At 35.7% G+C, this 19,962-nt stretch overlaps 1 annotated feature.

Moving 5' to 3' along the window:
* Positions 16,979-17,480: an enhancer, noted in NCBI's record as "H3K4me1 hESC enhancer chr9:29968493-29968994 (GRCh37/hg19 assembly coordinates)". NCBI's record gives its function as "activates a minimal SCP1, AML or CMV promoter by ChIP-STARR-seq in primed H9 embryonic stem cells {active_cell/tissue: H9 hESC(primed)}" and the evidence as "EXISTENCE:reporter gene assay evidence [ECO:0000049][PMID:30033119]".

Raw genomic sequence — 19,962 nt, forward strand, 5'->3', positions numbered from 1 at the left:
ATATTAGGTCCCCAATCTCTTCTGGCTTGTTGATACACTATTAGCCTGATGGGGTTCCCTTCGTAGGTGACCTGCCTCTTCTCTTTAGCCGCCTTTAACTTTTTTTTTTCATTCTGATTTTGGAGAATCTGATGACTATGTGTCAAATAGTCCTCTGTCATGGTATCTTGCAGGAGTTGCCTGCTTTTTATGAATTTGAATGTTGTCCTGTCTAGTAAGGCTGGAGAAATTTTCATGGATGATGTCCTCAAATGTGTTTCCCAAGTTGCTTGCTTTCTCTCTCTCTCTCTCTCTCTCTCTCTCTCTCTTTCAGGGATGTCAGTGGGTTGTAGATTTGGTCTCTTTACATAATCTTATATTTCTCAGAGGTTTTGTTCATTCTTTTTTATTCTCTTTTCTTATTTTTGTCAGTGATTTTATTCAAAGAACTCATCTTTGAGCTCTGAGGTTATTTTGTCAGCTTGGTCTATTCTGATGTTAATACTTGCCTATTTATTATAAAATTTTTGAATGAGTTTTTTGGCTCTATCAGATAAATTTGGATCTTTCTTCAAATGGCCATTTTGTCTTTCAGTATTTTTATTGTTTTATTATATTCCTTAAATTCCTTGGGTTGGTTTTAGACTTTCTTCTGAATTTTAATGAATTTTATTCCCATCCATATTCTGAATCCTATGTCTGTCATTTTAGCCATTTTGATCTGGTTAAGAAACTTCATCAGGGAACTATTTTGCTCCTTTGGAGGTATGAAGACAGTCTGACTTTTCGAGTTGCCAGAGTTTTGCACTTGTTCTTTCTCATCTGTGTGGGCAAATATTCCTTTATTCTTTGAAGTTGGTTTCATTTGGATGGGGTTTTTTGCTTTAATCTTCTTTGATACCCTTGGGGGTTTGATTGTGGTATAAGGTGGGTTTAGTAGACTGTCTTTGTTTCCAAACCAGTGGCTTCTGCAGACATAAACTTGCAGGAAAGTTTCAACAATAAATACAATGAATTGCTTGAGGCTGAGTGTGGAACAGCATGACAGAGATAATATGTTTGGGCTGCCCTCTTAAAGGCATCCACATGTTCATGGGCATCAGGTCAAGACACAGGTTTTCATGATGAAGATCTGAGAAAGATGCTGTGGTCTCTCATGATGTTGCTGATTGTATTTCTATATAACTGACTCTGAATGAGTCTTAGTGCTTTGGAAAGCTAGTTCAGTACCTGCAACCCAGCCTATAATTATTTTTATATATTGTAGGATTCAGTTTGTTTACTTTTTGTCAACAAATTTTGAATCTAAATTTATATGAGCTATTGGTCTGTAGTTTTCCTTTCTTGTAATGTTTTATTTGGTATTACAGTAATGTTGGCCTTAGAAAATGATCAGGATGTGTTCCTCTGCTCATATTTTCTGGAACAGATTGTAATAAATTGATATTATTTCTTTCTGAAATATTTTGTAGAATTCACCAGAGGAAACATCTGTGCCTGATTCTCTCTATTCTGGAAACTTATTAATTATTGATTCAATTATTTTAGTAGATAAATACCTATTCATATTATAGATTTCTCCATTTGAGAGTTTTGGTAGTGTCTTTCAAGGAATTGCTCTATTTCAATTAAATTATCAAATATTGCACATGGAGTTATTAATAATGTTTTTTCATTTTCTTCTTAATGTCCACGGGATCAATTGTAATTGTTATTTCATTGCCAATATTAGTAATTTGGATCTTCTCTCTTTGTTTCTTACTACGGTTAGGGCTTCTCAATTTTAGAGATCTATTCAGAAAACTAAATTTTTGTTTCATTGATTTTTTTTCTATTTTTCTGTTTTCTTTTTTATTTATTTTTGTTCTGACTTTTATTACTTCTTTTCTTCTGTTTATTTAGCTATAATTTGCTTTAATTTTTAATTATGTTGTGGTAGAACCTTGTTACTAATTTTACATCTTTCTGATATTTTAATATACACATTCAATGATATACATTTCCTCCTAATCACTCACTTGACTTGGTTCTATATTTCATTTTAATTTAGTTCAAATATTTAAAATTATTTTGAGACTTCTCATTTGATTCATGTGTTATTAAGAAGTACGGTTTTAATCTCCAAATATTTTAGGCTTCTCCATCTTTCTTTCTATAATTGATTTCTAGTTTAATTATCTTGAGAGAATACGTTGCAAAATTTCTAGTATTTTAAATTTGTTAAAGTATGGTTCATGGTACAGATATGATCTTGGTGAATTATACATTGAGCTTGAGAAGAATGTGCGTTCTTCTGTTGGATGAAATATTCTATAAATGCCATTTAGATCCAGCTGTTTGCTAGGACTGTTCAGTTCAAATATATTCACATTGATTTTCTACCTACTGGATCTGTCAATTATTAATTAAAGGGATTTGTAGTCACAACTACTATAGTGGATGCAGCTATTTTTCCTTGCAATTATATTTGTCTTTGCCTCATATATTTTGATTATGTGTTGTTAGACATACAAAAATTCAGGATTACTATATTTTCTTAAAGTATTGGCCCCTTTTTTATTATGCCATGTTCCTTGTTATTCCTGATGTTTTTCTTGCTCTGAAGTTTGCTTTGCCTGATATTAATATAGCTTCTCCAGCTTTGACTTGATTAGTGTTAGCATGCAATATCTTTCTCTATCCCTTTACTTTTGCTCTATCTGTGCATTTAACATAAAGTGGTTTTTTTTTAGACAAGATATAGTTGAATCTTCCTTTTGTATCTAATATGACACTCTCTTTTTTAATTAGTGCATTTAAAAGTTTTACATTTAGAGATATTATTGATATAGTTTGATTAACATATACCAACTTTGTAACTCCTTTCTATTTATTGTCTTTGTTCATTATTTCTTCTTTTTCTTCTGTGCTTTTTACTGCCTTCTAGTGTTTTAATTAACATTTTATATGATTCAATTTTCTACCCCCTTTTAGCATAGCAATTATAATTGCCTAATAAATTTGTATTATTTTGCATATAAATTTCCAGTTTTCTGAACACCATGTATTGAAGTTTTCCCAACACCATGTCTTTTCCCCAATGTTTAATCTTGGTGCCTTTCTCAAAAATCAGTTGGCTGTAAATGCGTGGATTTATTTCTGGGTTCGCTACTCTATTCCGCTGGTCTATGTGTCTGCTTGTATACCAATATTATGCTGATTTTGTTACTATAGCTTTGTAATATGTTAAAGTCAGGTAGTGTTATTCTCCAGCTTTGTTCATTTTGCTTAGGATTGCTTTGGGTACTCGGGCTCTTTTTTGGTTCCACATGATTTTTAGGATAGGTTTTTTTTTTTTATTTCTGCACAGAATTACGTTATGGGTAATGAATCCATTACTCAGAGTAAGAAAATATTTGTATTTTCCTGTATAAATATAAAAGCAAATTTTTTACTAGACAGTTTGAAAAGGCAAGAATGACTTTATTCAAGGCTATTGCAATGAGGAGGGAGAGAATGTAGTCAACTCTGCTGAAATAAAGAGTTGCAGAGTTTTTAAGGGCTGGTGTGTGTATGTGCGGGGAGGTGGGTTTCTAGGCCATTTATATTGGCTAATTGGTCGTCTCTCATCCTCATCATAGAAGGTAGTTTTAGAACTTTGAGAAAATGCCCACCGCCTACATAAGTGAGGCTCTTATTCTCTCATAGACAGTAGGAGATGGGGAGGCTATCTTCCCTGATGATTACACTTCAAAGAGATGGTTCCTAGGACTTTGAAAAACAAACAAACAAAATTCCTAGGTTGTAAAACTAGTAGAAGTCATTTAAAAAGAGGTATACCTCAAAAGATCAAAGAAAATACTTACAAGTTTTCTCAGGAAATTGGTCTAAGAAAAGGGAGGTCAGGTCCTAGAATCAGGACAATAACCAACTGTCTAAGTTTAGTCAACCTGAGAGAAATGTTGGGGTCCTCTTGGTCAATAGGCATAGAAAGAATCCTGGCTTTACAATAACTGTATCTTATCCTGGCTTTACAAGAACTGTATCTTATCATTCAACCTAGCTGATTTTTAATGACTTGAGTCCTATATTCAAGGCCAGGGTAGTCATAGCAAGCTGATTCTCTGAAAAGCTGGAATGTTTGAAAGAGAAATTTTATACTAGATGACTTAGATAAATATTTGAAAAAATCTAAACACTAAAATCTAGTATCAAAATATTTTGGAAAAGGAATATGGTTATATTTTAAAAATTTATTTACATTTAAGTTTTTTTATTTCAATAGTTTTTGGGGTATGTGTTTTTTTAATTACATGAATGAGTTGCATAGTGGTGAAGTCTGGGATTTTAGTGCACTGTCCCTCCCCATTCTGAGTCTCCATGGCCCATTATACCACTCTATATGCATTTATGTACCTATAGCTTAGCTTCAATTTATAAGTGAGAACATATGGCATTTGGTTTCCCATTCCTGAGTTATTTCACTTAGTAGCATGGCCTCAAGCTCCAACCAAGTTGCTGCAAAGTACATTATTTCATTCTTTCTTTTCAGAGTAGTATTCCATGGTGTACATATACCACATTTTCTTTATCCACTCATTGGTTTATGGGCACTTAGGTTTGTTCCATATCTTTGCAATGTTAATTGTGTTGCAATAAACATATGCATGCAGGTGTCTTTTTAATATAGTGACTTATTTTCTTTTGTACTCAGTAGTGGGATTGCTGGATAAAATGGTAGATCTACTTTCAGTTCTTTGAGAAATTTCCATATTGTTTACCACAGAGGTTGTACTAATTTACATTCCCAGCAGCAGTGTGTAAGTGTTCCCTATTCACCATATCCATGCAAACATCTATTATTTTTTGACTTTTTAATGACAGACATTATTGCAGGAGTAAGGTGGTGTCTCATTGTGGTTTTAATGTGCATTTCCCTGATGATAAGTGATGCTAAGCATTTTTCATATGTCTGTTGGCCATTTGTATTTTTTCTTTTAAAACCTGTCTATTCATGTCATTTGTCCACTTTTGATTGGATTATTTGTTTTTGTTCATGCTGATTTGTTTGAGTTCTTTGTAGATTCTGAATGTTAGTCCTTTGTGCAAATATTTCCCCCCCTTCTGCTAAACATCATAGAATTTTGAAGTGTAAACAGCACTGTAGCTGAAAAGATAATCCCTTGAATTCCACATATCATAAAAATTCAAACTTTAATACGTTCATGTCATAAAAATATCAAGCCACTTTACACTAATATAATTAATAGGTTTATTTAAGCCTTCTTCTTTATAGTTTCTCTCCTTGAGTTTTATTAGTCAAATCTTCAAAAAAGCACTCCACACAGAAGTAAGAAGGCAGTTATTGATGTAACAGCAAATTGTATGAATAATCACATATTAAAGTTGAATAAATGCTCAATTTCAAGTATTTTATAGGGCACTGATATTTAAATATTGAAATATTATTGCTCCAGTGATTGGGTTTCCTGAGGCTATTTTTTAAAAGTTGTGGGCTTGTCTATTTATAGCTGCTGCAAGGGTAAAATCAGGATGGTAATAGTGATTTAGCACAGAAAACTCCGGAGATGAAAAGCCAAGTAGATTATTTTTCAGTGCTTTCATTATGTCACATTCAGATACAGCTATATTTTCTCTTATTTTACCTTCATTTAAAATTTGTTATTTTCATGTTGGCATCCTGGGTTCACTGTGAATTTGTCTCTATACTTATTCCCAACCACAGTTCTACATTGCTGATCATATTTAAAAAAATACAGACAAAGCTTTACCCAAAAGTAGTTCTTGTTGTAACTGGATATAAGTGCTATAATAACAGCTCATTCAAGGTGTTAATGGAGCAATAAAATGTGGAGCTAGCTGCTGGAAGTATTCAAATAAGGCATAGGGCACCAAGGTAGTGTCATTTGAATGAAGGGGCAGCAAAAGAACAATGGAGACATTCTACCCATTAAGGAGCAAATATATAGTCATAGGGACATGGTAAGTCACTGGGGAAAGCAAGCAGCTTTAGGTGCTAGAGTGCAGTGTCTTTGGAGGAGGTAAGTCAGGAAAGAAAAAGATTTATAGGAAATATAGGAAAAAATAGAACTATGCTAGGGAAATTCTGTGTATTGTGATTGCTTTCAAGAAGATAATTGACAAACAATGGATTTTCTTAATAAAGTTAATGCAACCAGACTTTGGGGGTATTAATTTTTGGATCAGGAAAATGACAGTTGGAGAAATAAAAAAGAAGAAGACCACATAGAAAAAATATTATAATAGTCTGGATGGGAAGAGATACTGAGGTTCCACATTCTCACTCTTATTTCAGATATTGAATAGTTGATTAATTTCTAATGATAATTAATTCTATCTTCTTTACAGGAAAGATATATAATAATTCAAGTGCAAATCCTGTGTCAACTTGTGGAAGACAAAAGCATATAAGACATGGCTGTTGACCTAGTAAAGCTCACGGTATCATGGTATACAAACAGGAGTAGAAATGGCTGTAATTCAAAGCCTTGGCTTACAGCAAAGATGAAAGTCAGTTAAAAGGAATAAATCATGCACCAAAACTTAATGTTAAGTGTATTATTTAGATTCCCTTAAATATTTCGTCTTTGGTAAAATTTGCAGTTTCTACTGTTTCATTCTTTTAAGTTTTAAACAAAAACTACAAACGGTCACATAGAATGACAGAATTGACATAACCCAGATTTAATTTCTTTTGTTTATATTCATTGTGTTATTATTTATTATTTATTTTGAATCTACTTTTTAATATGTAGTATCACAGGGGTTTGAGACAGGAACTGCAGAGGTTGGTTGAGCCCTTCTCAACCATTGAAAATTTACTATTGCAGAAGATGCATGACTCAGAGTCTGCATGTGTTGGAGAAGCCAGGAGGGAACTATTGTATAATTAGTATTTGTAGTAACATCTTTGTTGAGTACAATGCTTATTAAATACTAAGCAAAAATCATGTTGTAAGTCAAAGCTCATGTATTAATATAATTAATAGTTACCACAGCATTTTTTTACAACTTAGAGGGGAAAATGCCCCATGTCCTCTTACTGGCAGAAAAGGTCACCTCTAACCACTAAGTCGGTTGGAGAGTTATATTCTCTTACTGCCAACACTGGGAATGTGGAGTGCTCCAATTTCCCACACTTGGTATGCCACTCAATCTACTTATGCTGATAACTATCTATGTATTGTTGTGAATTGGATTTATAGACTAGACTGCTGTTATATAAACTGTAATGATGTCCCAAAAGACAAGATTATTTTAGTGTAGTGCATAGGATCAGACAAGAATGCAGCTATAATAACGCCAGAAGAACACAAGTTTAGCAAATTGAACTCAAGGAACCCCTAGTATTTCTTAGAAGTAGCTCAGTCTCTGGAAAAAGAACTATCCAGTCTAAATATTTTAGTAATTTGAAAATACTGAAAAAATCATTTATACATTTTACTTTGTATAACACGAATTTCACAAGCTTCTTTATGTGCTGAAAGATTGCAAAATATTACTCTATAAAAAAACTTAAAATGTTGTTAACCAAGGCACCGAGGGCACCTAGTGACGCTTTACATGAATCATAGTAAAAGTGTCCAGGAGGGGAAGATATTATCTATTATGGACTGAATTGTATCTCCCCCAAAATATAAATGTTAAAACCCTAACCTCCAATATGACTAAATCTGAAAATAAGATCTTTAAGTATTTATGGAATTAAGGTTAAAAGACATCATAAGAGTGGGACCATAATCCAAGAGCTGGTGTCCATATAAGAAGAGATACACACCCTCTTTTTCCTCTCTCTCCCCACCCAACTCTGCATGTACAGAGAGGAAGGACATGTGAGCATACAAAGAGAAGGCAGCCATCCACAAGCCAGGAAGAGAGGCTTCACCAGAAATAAACCTTGATGACACCTTAATTTTGGACTTTGAAAGGCTCCCAAATGATGAGAAAACAAATTTATGTTGTTTAAGCAGCTATGATGTGGCATTTGTTATGGTGTCCAAGCTGACTAATACATCATCTTAAATGTAATACCCGCAATTGTACCATAAATTATAATAATTGAAGCTACTTCCAAAACTTGTGAAAACGGAACCATATATCCATGAAGCATATTTACTTCATGTATCTGCCCTTAGAACTATGTCACATATTTGAAGAGTAACCAGACTTCAAGTCTAACTGTATTCAGAACTCATGAATTATTTGCATTACCCAATAAAATCAAATTATTCATTTGACATTAGGATATTAATATTTCCCAGATTACTGTAAACCTTTCAAATTTCATAACTTTTATTTTATAATTATGATGCTTGAAGAGACAGTATTTGTTTATGGATAAGAAATCTGGGATCCAGGGGGAAATAAAAAAGAAATATCACACTCCTCATAGTAGTGGGGAGAAGGCTAAAATCCAGGTTTTCTAATTCCCTGTCTATCTTTATTTGTTCTACATCAAACTATCTTTTAACTCTTACCAATATAATCCTTTTTTTAGACAGCACAGGAATTTCAATATTCCCAGACAAGCCATGTTGATTCATGTTCCAAAATGCTATTTATAATAATAATAATAATCATCATCATAACAAATGCTCATGTAGTACTTATTATGTGCTGGCACTTTTCTAAGTGCTTGACATTTATTAACTTATTAACTTCATTAACTTTTGAAATAAGTACTATTCTCATCTTACAAATGACAAAATTAAAATGCAGAAAGAAAAATGTTAAATTGCTTAAAATCACACAAATGGAAAGTGAAGTCTGAAGTCATAACATTGAGAACATAATAAGATTGGCTAGAAGTGAAAAAAATCGACATGTCTCTATAGAATGAGAAAAGAAATTCACTTTTTTCACATTAGAGAAATTGCGGCAGCCCAGTAATAATCTAGAGAAACTGCCAAAGATAGGCATAGGACTTAGAGAAAGTTCCAAGCAATGTGGTGGATACTGACCCTCAAAGAAGAAACAATCGTTAAAAATTTCCTAGATCAAGATATGATGTAGGAAGTGTCAACAGATGTCCTAATATACAAATAAAATATTGCTACTCTATGTTATTCTAAATATTATATATGTCTGTCTGCAATATGTTTTGTATGTTATTCTACCCATATGATTTACAAGAATCTTCAGAAAACTATGAAAATGTACAGATTCAGTACATGAACTTATATTAGCTGTTATTTTGTTTTGCTGTTACTTTGATATTCCATTTTTAATTGCAATAATGGATGAGTTAACAAAAGTCTTAGAATTCTCTGATGAAGCAAGATTATGCTATTAGTTTGCTGGAGCTATGACAGAAGGTAGAATAATTGTCAAATCATTATGTGCTTCAATTATAAAATGTGTATTATATATTATATATAATAGACCTGTGAATTCTATGATTATGTTCCATTCTTCCTACATAAAAGTTTGATTATGATATATTGAATATAATTTCAAGGAATGTAATTTATAACTTCACAATATCTTTTGCTTCACTAAAACATCCAGAAAGTATAAAGAAATCAGTAGCACATTGTATTAATCTGGTTCTTGAGAATTTTTTAAGAGGAAACATTCAAGGTACCCATGATAAATTTTAATATGCAGGGATGAAACTAGGGATTATTGCTAGATACACTTATTAAAAAAAAAGCATTAGAGTTGATGTTCTAGATTTTTTTTGTTCCATGGACTCTTATGGATAGCTGGTGAAGCTAACGGACCCCCTGCCATCTTATTAGAATAATACTTTTAAATATATAAAATCCCATAAGATTACAAAATCAATTATACTAAAACATATTATCAATAGTGTAAAATCATATTTGTTATTTAGTAACATGTATCTTAATAAATTGATTACAAAGTAACACATTTAAAATATTGGCAATTTAAACTTAAATTTTGTTTTTTTAAAGACGTGCCTATGTGAAAATTGCTAACTCTTCTAATCTACACGTCTATATGTCTTAGAAAAGGTTACACTCTCTGAGTTAAGCATTCTCATTTGAACTCTCATGTTTTACGACAAATAATGATAATTACTCACCTCTTTCCATATATTCATAAACAATTGAGAATTGAGAGTATTTGAATGTGGCATATCTATCTATATAACCATTGTAAGAACACATGATTTCAAGATTTAATTTGCTAAATGACTCCTAGGTGTGGAGTTTTCCCAGTACTGGGAGGTTAGTGTTGATCAAATATTTGTAGACAGAAATAATGAGTTGAACCTTGATGAGGAATTTGGTTTATAACTAAAGAAATCCCAAGTTAGTGATAATCATAAGTTATATATACAGCACCTCTAACATGGAATAGAAATACCTGCAATATCTTCTGATGATTAAGTCACAGTTATTAATACTCTATACTTTCTTGCCTATATTCATAGGGAACCCCAATAAAACACTTAATTTAAGTAAATGTTACTGAAAAAAATATGATTTTTTTTCCTGCCTTCATGTCCATAGACTCCCTGGATTCAGTATGTGAAACTCCTTGGGTATCTATGGAGCCTGAAGAATAATGCCTGAATTAATAAAAAGAAAATGGCAACTGCTAACATTTAGAGAGGCATGAGTATCGTATTAAATTTTCCTAAGTAAGCTACTAAATATTCCACTGTAATATGTTTTATTTGCTTATTAAAAAATTCCTACTTGTTTATAATTATATTCAACTATGAATTGATGATTAGTAACAAATATACTGAAAGTTCTGAAACTACTGAAGATTTAAATAATTAAGAAATATAGACTTTTAATGTAAAGTCAAAATTAAAATTTAATTTAAAATATCTGACACTTTGTCAGGTACTCATTACGAACAGAAATTGCAGAGACAAATAAAATATTTCACTGCCATTACAGAGTTTATCATGTAGGTTAAAAAAGAAAAGAAGTCCCTTAATTTGCTTTCTAACTGAATTTTCTTTCACTTTTGTTACCGCTGTTGATTTTTACCTGAATGATTCTTAGCCTCTGCTGATTGAAGTGTCCAGGACCTATCATGACTCCTGGGATAGAAATAGAGTGCCAGGGCTTGTCATTAGACTTGCCTACCCTAGGTGGAGGGTCCTAATCACACATACTGAAAGCAGGAATTTAGTATTCAGCAAGGCCTGATTTAGAAATCGGCAAGACCTGATTTCTGCAAAATATTGCAAACACCAGTCCCTACATTTCAGAAAGCTAAATAACATGATTATTAGGAGAAGCAGTGTATCATTCAAAATGAGAAATAACATAGAAGACAGAAGACTGTCAATGAGCAGTAAAAATCAAGTTATCATTTACAGTTTCATAAATAGAGTTTTATGGAGAGATTAAGTGGTAGTGAAGAAAGACTACCTTTACTTTTAGGTTACTGAAGTACAAATGATGGGGTGTAACAAACAGAAACCCAGAACTTGAACTGGGCACACAATGATGACCCATACTGAAGTGTCAGACAGTAAAGGGATGTTTTGATAGAGGGGTGAGCCCAGCAGAAGGACTAGAAGGCTGTGTCTTGGAGAACAAATTCAGTCTAGTGACAAGCGCAATACCTGAGCAATGATTCAGTGTTACAAGTTATAAGAGTATATCTCAAACAAGCATAATCATATAGGAAAGCTGAGATTCCATGGATGCTTGGCTGGTTTTCCTCATACTCAATACATTTTCTCAGTAAAGTGTTCTAGTGGCTAAAATTCTGAAATCTATTTGTCTCTTTTGAAAATAAATCTGGTTAAGTAATTTTATACGTGTTAATTTATTAACATATGAAATCATTCAGTGGGCTTATGAAGTGCTCACTACGCATAGGATACTACATTAGCCTAGTGAATACAAAGACACATGGACGATTAACCTAACTTTGAACAACTTAAGGTCTACAGGTGACAGTGCTAAAGGTGAAGCACAGTAACACTCAAGGTGTAAACACCTATCTGTGCTTGGCCTAGGAATAGGGGCCACACAGCAATTTGAACAGGTAAGAGGAATTTTTTTTTCTTTTCTGTTTGAGGCAGGGTCTCACTCTGTTACCCAGGCTGGAGTTCAGTGGCATGATCACGGCTCACTGCAGCCTCCACCTCCTAGGCTCAAGCAATCCTCCTACCTCAGTCACCTGAGTAACTGGGACTGCAGGTGCACACCACCACACCCGGCTAATGTTTTTGTATTTTTTATAGAGACAGGGTTTTGTCATGTTGCCCAGGCTGGTCTTGAACTCCTGGGCTCAAGTTATCCTCCCACCTCAGCTTCCCAAAGGGCTGAAATTGCAGGCGTGAGCCACCACACCCATCCTGAACAGGTAAGTGGAACTTAGAGCTGAGACATGAAGGACAAGTTTTTTTTTTTTTTTCTAATTACGTAAGACAAGAGTGAACATTCTAGAAAAATGGATCAATGCATGGAAAATATACAAAAAGAAAAGGTTGTGTTATTACCATGCATTGCTGACTGTTGACATTACGGTGTGAATAATTTACCTTCCGTCTCCCAGACCATTTCTACTGATGTGGAATGACAACACTGATATCTATAATATAAAGGAAACACATAAGGAAAATAAGTAAATAATAGGAGGCATATTTCTTCCTCTTCCAACTATGTTTAGGGCTGTGCTTGCTCACAAAGGAAAAAGATTTGGCTTAGACATTAATGCCGCAGAATGATATCATAAACACTTAACTTAGATTCAGATATATGTTTTCTTTTAAATTGTCAAAGTATTGTCTCATCAATTGATAAGAAAACATAAGAAGAGTTTAAATAGCTATTAGAAAAGTTTAGCCACAGATCACAACTGACTGACTCTTCTTTACTCCAAGCAGAGGCAACACTTTCTCTCTACTTAACACAATTCAACCTGGGCTTCCTTTGGTTTTAAAAAGACAATAAGAAAGAAAAGATATAGGCTGCTCATTACCAGCATATATGGCTTCTTGATCAGGGTGGAGTCTTGTTGGTAATTCCATTTTCCGCTGAAGGCATTGCATGGCAGACTAATTGCTGGCTATAAAGGTTGCACTCATTATGCTACACTTAGCAATCCCTGGGGAAGAATGTTATTTTCCTAGCCACATGCTGCCTAATACTGATTTTTTAGAACAAGTTGCACTGATTTTTACAGATGTTGTAATTTGTGCCTTTCCTTTTTATGCTCTCTACCTCTCTAGATTCTTAATAATGTGTTTTATGCCTTATCATTTAATCAAATCACAATCCTGTGGACTACTGGATGAGTTCAAGGTGTCTAACTGTTGACCTTGCTGAATCCTACTGTGTGAAATCTAGTTATCAGAAGAATGAGATCACAGCAGTGAAAAAAAGAATGTAGATGATATATAACTGTAGTCAATTGTTTCCAGAGTAAAGAAGTCTGAACTCTTAGGTCCGATGACATTGATTGAGACTTTTCTCCTAGAAAGGTAGTGTTGGGCCCATACAAAACAGAGGATGAATTGCACAGGCTATCGTCCCTTGTGAGGGAAGAAAAGATTAATCAGTTCATTGTTGAATAGAGTGTACACTCAATTTTTCATGTTATTTGAGAAAAACTTCTTAGACTAGGCCACGAATAAACAAAATGCATTTCCTAATAAAATGGCACTTTCTTCTCTCTGTGTAATATTCAGCCTCAATAAGAGATTAACAAATAATTATAGGTTGGTTATGCACATGGATCATGAAAAAGGAAAGAGGAAGAGTCAGATTTAAGAAAGAAAACTAAGATTAGCAAAAAATAGTGATATAACATGAATAATATAATTGTGTTAAGAGTGTACTATGCATATCCCTTCACGTCTGCTTTGGGTTAAAATGCCTAGAGGAGTGTAAACTGCTTCAATTCATGCAATTTTGTGCATATTTAAATAGTTCTGTAAAAACCATGCTTTTACTTTTTCTCATTATCTATATTCTTGACTATTTATTTAAAATGTTTAAAAGATTTTCTCTGAAAATTGCACATGAATATTTTATTTAGGCAGTCTGTGTGGTCCAAGGAGCTAATACCATATATATATATAAATATTACTTTATTGTAATTGAAAGAAAATTTCAAACAAATTTTTGACAAATATAAAAATTATGTTTTTATATTTTCTTCTCAGAAAATAAAATTTTTAAAATAACTCAGATTGTTTCAAAAATAAATATAGAATTAGAATCTCAGATAAGGCTACTAAATTGATGTGTTCTATTCAATGATCAATCATAGGAAATAAAAATGACTATTGTAGAAAATATTATAATAATGCATAATGATGTTAAGTTTTCATAACATGATTAATGTTTATTAAAGAATACTATATTGGTTCACTGTGACACTGCTATAAAGAACTACCTGAGAATGGGTAATTTATGAAGAAAAGAGGTTTAATCGACTCACAGTTTCACAGGCTTAACAGAAACCATGGCTAGGAGGCCTCAGGAAACGTAGTCATGGCAGAAAGTGAAGACGGAACAAACATGCCTTACCATGGTGGAGCAGGAGTTGGGGGTCGGGAGACTGCCACACACTTTTAAACCATCAGATCTTGTGAGAACTCACTCACTATCAGGAGAACAACACGGGGGAAACCTCCCCCATAATCCAATCACCTCCCACCAGGTCCCTTCCCTGACATGTGGTGATTGTAATTCGACATGAGATTTGGATGGGGACAAAGAGCCAAACCATGTCAAATACCAATTGAGTATAATTTCTATTCATTAATTAGTAATATATCATGTTATATATTTTAATCATAGGAGTTTAAAAACATTTTTAAATGGATGAAGGTATAAGATCTCTTCCTCAGAAGAGTTCATGTAGCACACACTCGCAGGAGATGAAAAAAGTTATCTTTCTGTCCTTTCCCAGACAGTGACGGAAACCTAAGTAAGTGGTGAGTCATTGATTAGGTAGCTGGTGCTCCTTCCAGCTAGACAGCTTCCTGGTCTGCTCTGAGATGGAGTTTACAAAACTAGGCTTCCAGAATGCTTCATCACCACATGACAGACATAGAATTGGGATAATTTAATGCTGTCACTTATTCTTCTGTTCACTTGACAAATATAGTGCATCAGGCTATGTTCTGAATTCTGAGAGTACAAAACTAAAAAGAAGTATCCTGCCTTCAAGAAATTCAGTCCATTTTGAGAGAAAACTCAAATATAAATAAATAAATTAGCAGATGGCATAATAGAGCATATAGGGAGGAGAGACGGCTTAGAGATGAGGTCTAGTAAATGGAGTCCAGTCAGGGGACAGATACTACTCCAGTTATTTTATCAGGTATATTTTAATGAACGCAATTACTAACATTATTGGAGAACTGTTACAGCAAACAGAGGAACATTAAAGTGTCATAGTAGCAGTAACTGCAGGAAGCACTTAACAACCCCTTAGGCTAAGCTAACAGAGGAAAAAGGTTAAAATTATTGATGTTTAAAAGCCCAAAGGAGAAGCTCTGTGGAGCTGGAGCTCTGACTTGTAAGAAGGGGGCACTGTATGCCTGGAACAGATGCCACAGAACCTCAGAGGAAGGACTGCATAGATCTCATACTCAGATTTGAGGAAGGACTACAAGAAAGATGGTTCTGATGCCAATAAGAGGTCATTATGAGGCTGGATCTGGGGTGTTAAAAAAAAGCTGATAGTGAAATCAACTGCCATGAGTAAACTGTAATCACCAAAGTCAAGATGTGCCACCATGATGATGCTGACAAAACCACAAAGCAGTCCTGACACTGGGAGCAAAACAATAAGATCCAAAACCCTTCTCCCTCTTCTGACTTTTCAGTCTTCCTCTAGCATCTCCAGTGGCAGAAACTAAGAGGCAGCCAATGAGCAAAGCCAAAATATGACTCGCAGAATCCTTGCTAAGTATAGGAAAATGAGTTATAATCAGAGTATCTTGGAAAAAATAGTCTATTATGTGACACAGAAGGTAAACTTAAATAAGAAAATAAGGGCAGTAAAATAAGCAGAAGCTTCATAGGAGGGGACCCTGAGCTGAAGTTGAGAGAGTGAGCAAGGATTTTATAGTATGGGGCAGAAGCTTGGGATGAGCCAGGAAAAAGAATCATGGAGAGGGCTGGTTCACAAGAAGAGAAAACTAAGATACATGGACCACCAAGAATAATTGTGGGAATTTATATTTGAAAGGTTAGGCAGATAAAACTGCTTGAGTTAGATTATGAAAACCTGAAAACATCACACCGTAATTTGGATTGATATTTTTACTATGCAGCCATTGATGTTTGTAAAGGAGGCTAGTACTATGGGGGTAGATATTGCTTAAAGAAGACTGACATGGGTACATGTTATAGGATCGATTGGAAGGAAGAAGGAAATAATAAATTAGATTTTGGAAAAGGAACTATTGTCATAATATAGAAACAGTGATGAAGGTGTCAACAAGATAATCAGTGCTGACAGATTCCAAAAATATTGTAAAAGAAAAAAATTATCGTAACATTTAAATTTGTCTGCTATAAATGAAGAGAAAGGATAACTTCTTGCATAGTGAATCATAGTGCTAACAATATGTTATTTTTAGATTAAGATGAATGAATAAATTTATACTTTGGAGCTGAACATTTGGATTATAATCATCAAGAGTGAAGTGATCATATAGATAATGGGAATGCATAAGATCTGCAAGTGTATATTTTGAAAGACAAAGTCACACCAAAATAATCAGACCCTAAAGAGACATCATCCCAAGGTGAGAAAAAAAATAGGAACAGTAAAATAGCTGAGAGAAGAATCTCAAAGACATGACAGCATTTCAAAGAGCTGAATGATATAGAGCCAGAAGGAGGACAGCATTTCAAAAGAAGAAAGGACAACCTGCCTGCAGAGTCATCCTTTCTTTTCTTTCTTTTTTTTTTTTATGACAGAGTCTCACTCTGTCACTCAGGCTAGAGTGCAATGGTGTGATCTTGACTCACTGCAACCTCTGTCTCCTGGGTTCAAGCGATTCTCCTGCCTCAACCTCCCAAGTAGCTGGGATTACAGGTGTGCATCACCACGCCCGGCTAATTTTTGTATTTTTAGTGGAGATGGGGTATCATTATGTGGGCAAGGCTGGTCTCAAACTCCTGACCTCAGGGGATCCACCTGCCTCAGCCTCCCAAAGTGATGGGATTACAGACGTGAGCCACTACGCCCAGTCCTTTCTTCTTTTGAAACGCTGTCTTCATTCACTTTATTTTCTCTGATGGATTGCTCAGTTTCTATTGTGAACAACCCATCAAAGAAAATAAAGAGTAAGAAATGAAATCTGTCTACGAAAAGATGATACCACTGTCACAGAATCCTTGGGGTGTCACTTTTCAAGCCAGAAATCTCTATAGCCAATGGTGCCTTTGCCTGAGTTTTGCTCTGGCCTGATGGGCTCATTCCACCCACTTGGCCTGGCAGGTTGTACTCAGCTCATGCTACCAGGCTGGATCCCACACCTGCCAAGATTGAGCCAGGGATGGAGCAGTGAGGGGTGTGTGAGCAAGTGAGCATGGGAGCCAGCCACTGGGCACAGCCAGGCATTCCAGCGGTGGCAGAGTGTGTAGCTCCAGGCACTGGCACAGGTGCCAGATCCCTGCAAGGTTACCGCTGGACCAGGCATATCGCAAGCAGCTTCCCCAGCTGGCACCAGGGAATATAGTGGCACCTGGAGGCTTGGAAATGCCAGGAATCAAAGAGCCCCAAAGAGGGAGTCACAGCCCTGGCTCAGGGAGTTCCTAGGTCTGGGCTCCCTCAAGGGCTGCAGCTCTTCTCTCCTCTTCTCTCTCCTTCTCTTGCCTGTAACATGGTGAGCAAGGGGTGTGTTTCAGCCCTATTTGTGTTACAGCTCTTGCCCTGCCACTTGACAGGTCTGGAATTCTTGTCCTGCAACCAGGAAGAATGAGGCACGCAAACAAGTGGATGATGAGCAAGGCGAAGAGGTACTTTTTTGAGTGACAGAACAGCTTAGAGACGACCTGCAGTGGGTAGCCCCTTTCTGCAGGCAAGGCATCCCAAAGAGCATTTAGCTTTCAGCAGAGAGGAGACCCACAACAGGTAGTCCCAACATCTGCTCAGCTCTCAACTGAGAGGAGACCCAAAATGGGTAGCTCTGTGCAGGCAGGGCATCCTGGCGAGTGTTCAGCTCTCAGCAGAGAAGAGATTCACAGTGGGTAGCTCCTCTCTGTAGGCAGGTCATCCTGTTTTCTGCCCCAGTCTGGTTGAGCCCAGGGTTTTTACGGACCTCAGAGAGGAGGAATTGCATGCTGATTGGTCCACAGGTGCCACTAGCAACTCATAAAAGCACCACAAGTTCTCACGCTGGTTCGTGGAACTGGCAGCCCAATCTCCAGGCCTCAAGTCATCTCTGGCCTGAAGGTGGGGTTTCACCGGGAACCCATCCCTTTCCACCCAGGAGCCTGTTTGCCTCCTGCCACCATTAACCTGCCATCCACAGTGCCCATGGCACCAGGCTGTTTGTGCCTAGTGGTGCCTGCAGGAACCATGCCAAGCCACACTCAACCCACCTTCGGTCTCCCTCCCATGCTCGTAGGTACCCAAAATTCACAGGGGGCAGAGGTGGCGGGGGCTGGAGTGTCAGTGCTGCACTGAGTGTGTGCACACCCAGCCAGGTCATGACAGCACCTGGGCTCAGCCACCGCTTAGCTCCAAAATTAGAGTGGGTGCCAGGAGTGAGGAGAGGTCAGGCAGTGGGAGCAGGCACTTTTAAGTCTGTGGGAGCAAAGGGGCTTCCTGAGCCTCTGAGAGTGCAGAGATGCCCAGGTCTGCATTACAGCTGAGCAGCTGTAGCTGTGTCTTGGAAAGGGTGGGGGGGGCGGGGAGGGCGGGGCGGGGCTCCCGTCCCTCCAACTTGGAAGCAGACGGGGCTTCCACCTATTCCCGGCTCCTGTACTACTTTGTGGAGCATGCAGCCCCTGCGGCGCCTTCCACACTGCAGTTGGTGTCACGGCAGAGGCCGCTCCAGATGGCCCCTGCTGCCATCACAACCTTTCAGAGATCAATTTCTGAGAATGTAAGGACCAAAATCCAAAGTGCAAAGTATTAAGGTAGAAGGGTTATTGGAAAAAATAGAAGATTTTAGCAATCAAAAGAAACAAGACAATATGGCAATGCTCAAGAAAGTTATTTTCATATATAGAATGCCAAGATTTTAGAATGGATTTTTCTTCATTATATGTTGGACTATTACAATTCCAAGAAACATTAACATCTACTCCTTATAGAAATAGTATTATGTGCTCTACAGTCCTGTGATAAGCACTTTGTACATATTATCTAATTTAAGTCTCACTTTTTAAAACAGAAGCAGTGTTGTGTTTATTTGAACTAGAACAAGGTACTTGTTTTCAGAGATGAGGCAGCATCATCGAGGTCACAAGGGTAAGATGTGTTTAAATCCACAATTATGTTAATGAACTTGCCCAGTTTTCCCTTTATTTTTTACAGTTCATAAATTTTTTTTTATTTTGTACCTCTTTAATTAGGTGCATACACATTTATGATTGTTATATCTTTCTTATTAATTGATCTTTATTTTAAATTATCTCTTTTTCTGCTAATAGTTTTTATCTTGAGGTTTACATTTATATTAATGTAGACAAAATAGCCTTATTTTTACTTTTTGAATGGCATATTGTTATTCACCCTTTTTCTTTTAATGTTTTTCTGCCTTTATATTTCAAATTAATCTCTTTTAGATGGCATAAATTTGAGACTGCCTATTATATTTACTGTGATGATATCTACTTTTAATGGGACTATTTATTCAGTTTACATTTAGTGGAATTAGTGATGGGAATTGGTTTGTAGTGTCCATTGTTCAATTTTTCCTATCTGATTTTGGTTTCTATGTTCCTCCTTTTCTGCCTTTTTGAATTAATCAAAAATTTTATTCTCTTTTAATTCTTCTATTGATGTTTCTAGCTATACTTTCCTAGTTTTCTGTTTTTTCTTTCT

Source organism: Homo sapiens, chromosome 9, assembly GCF_000001405.40.
Source record: "Homo sapiens chromosome 9, GRCh38.p14 Primary Assembly".
Taxonomy (NCBI): Eukaryota; Metazoa; Chordata; class Mammalia; order Primates; family Hominidae; genus Homo; species Homo sapiens.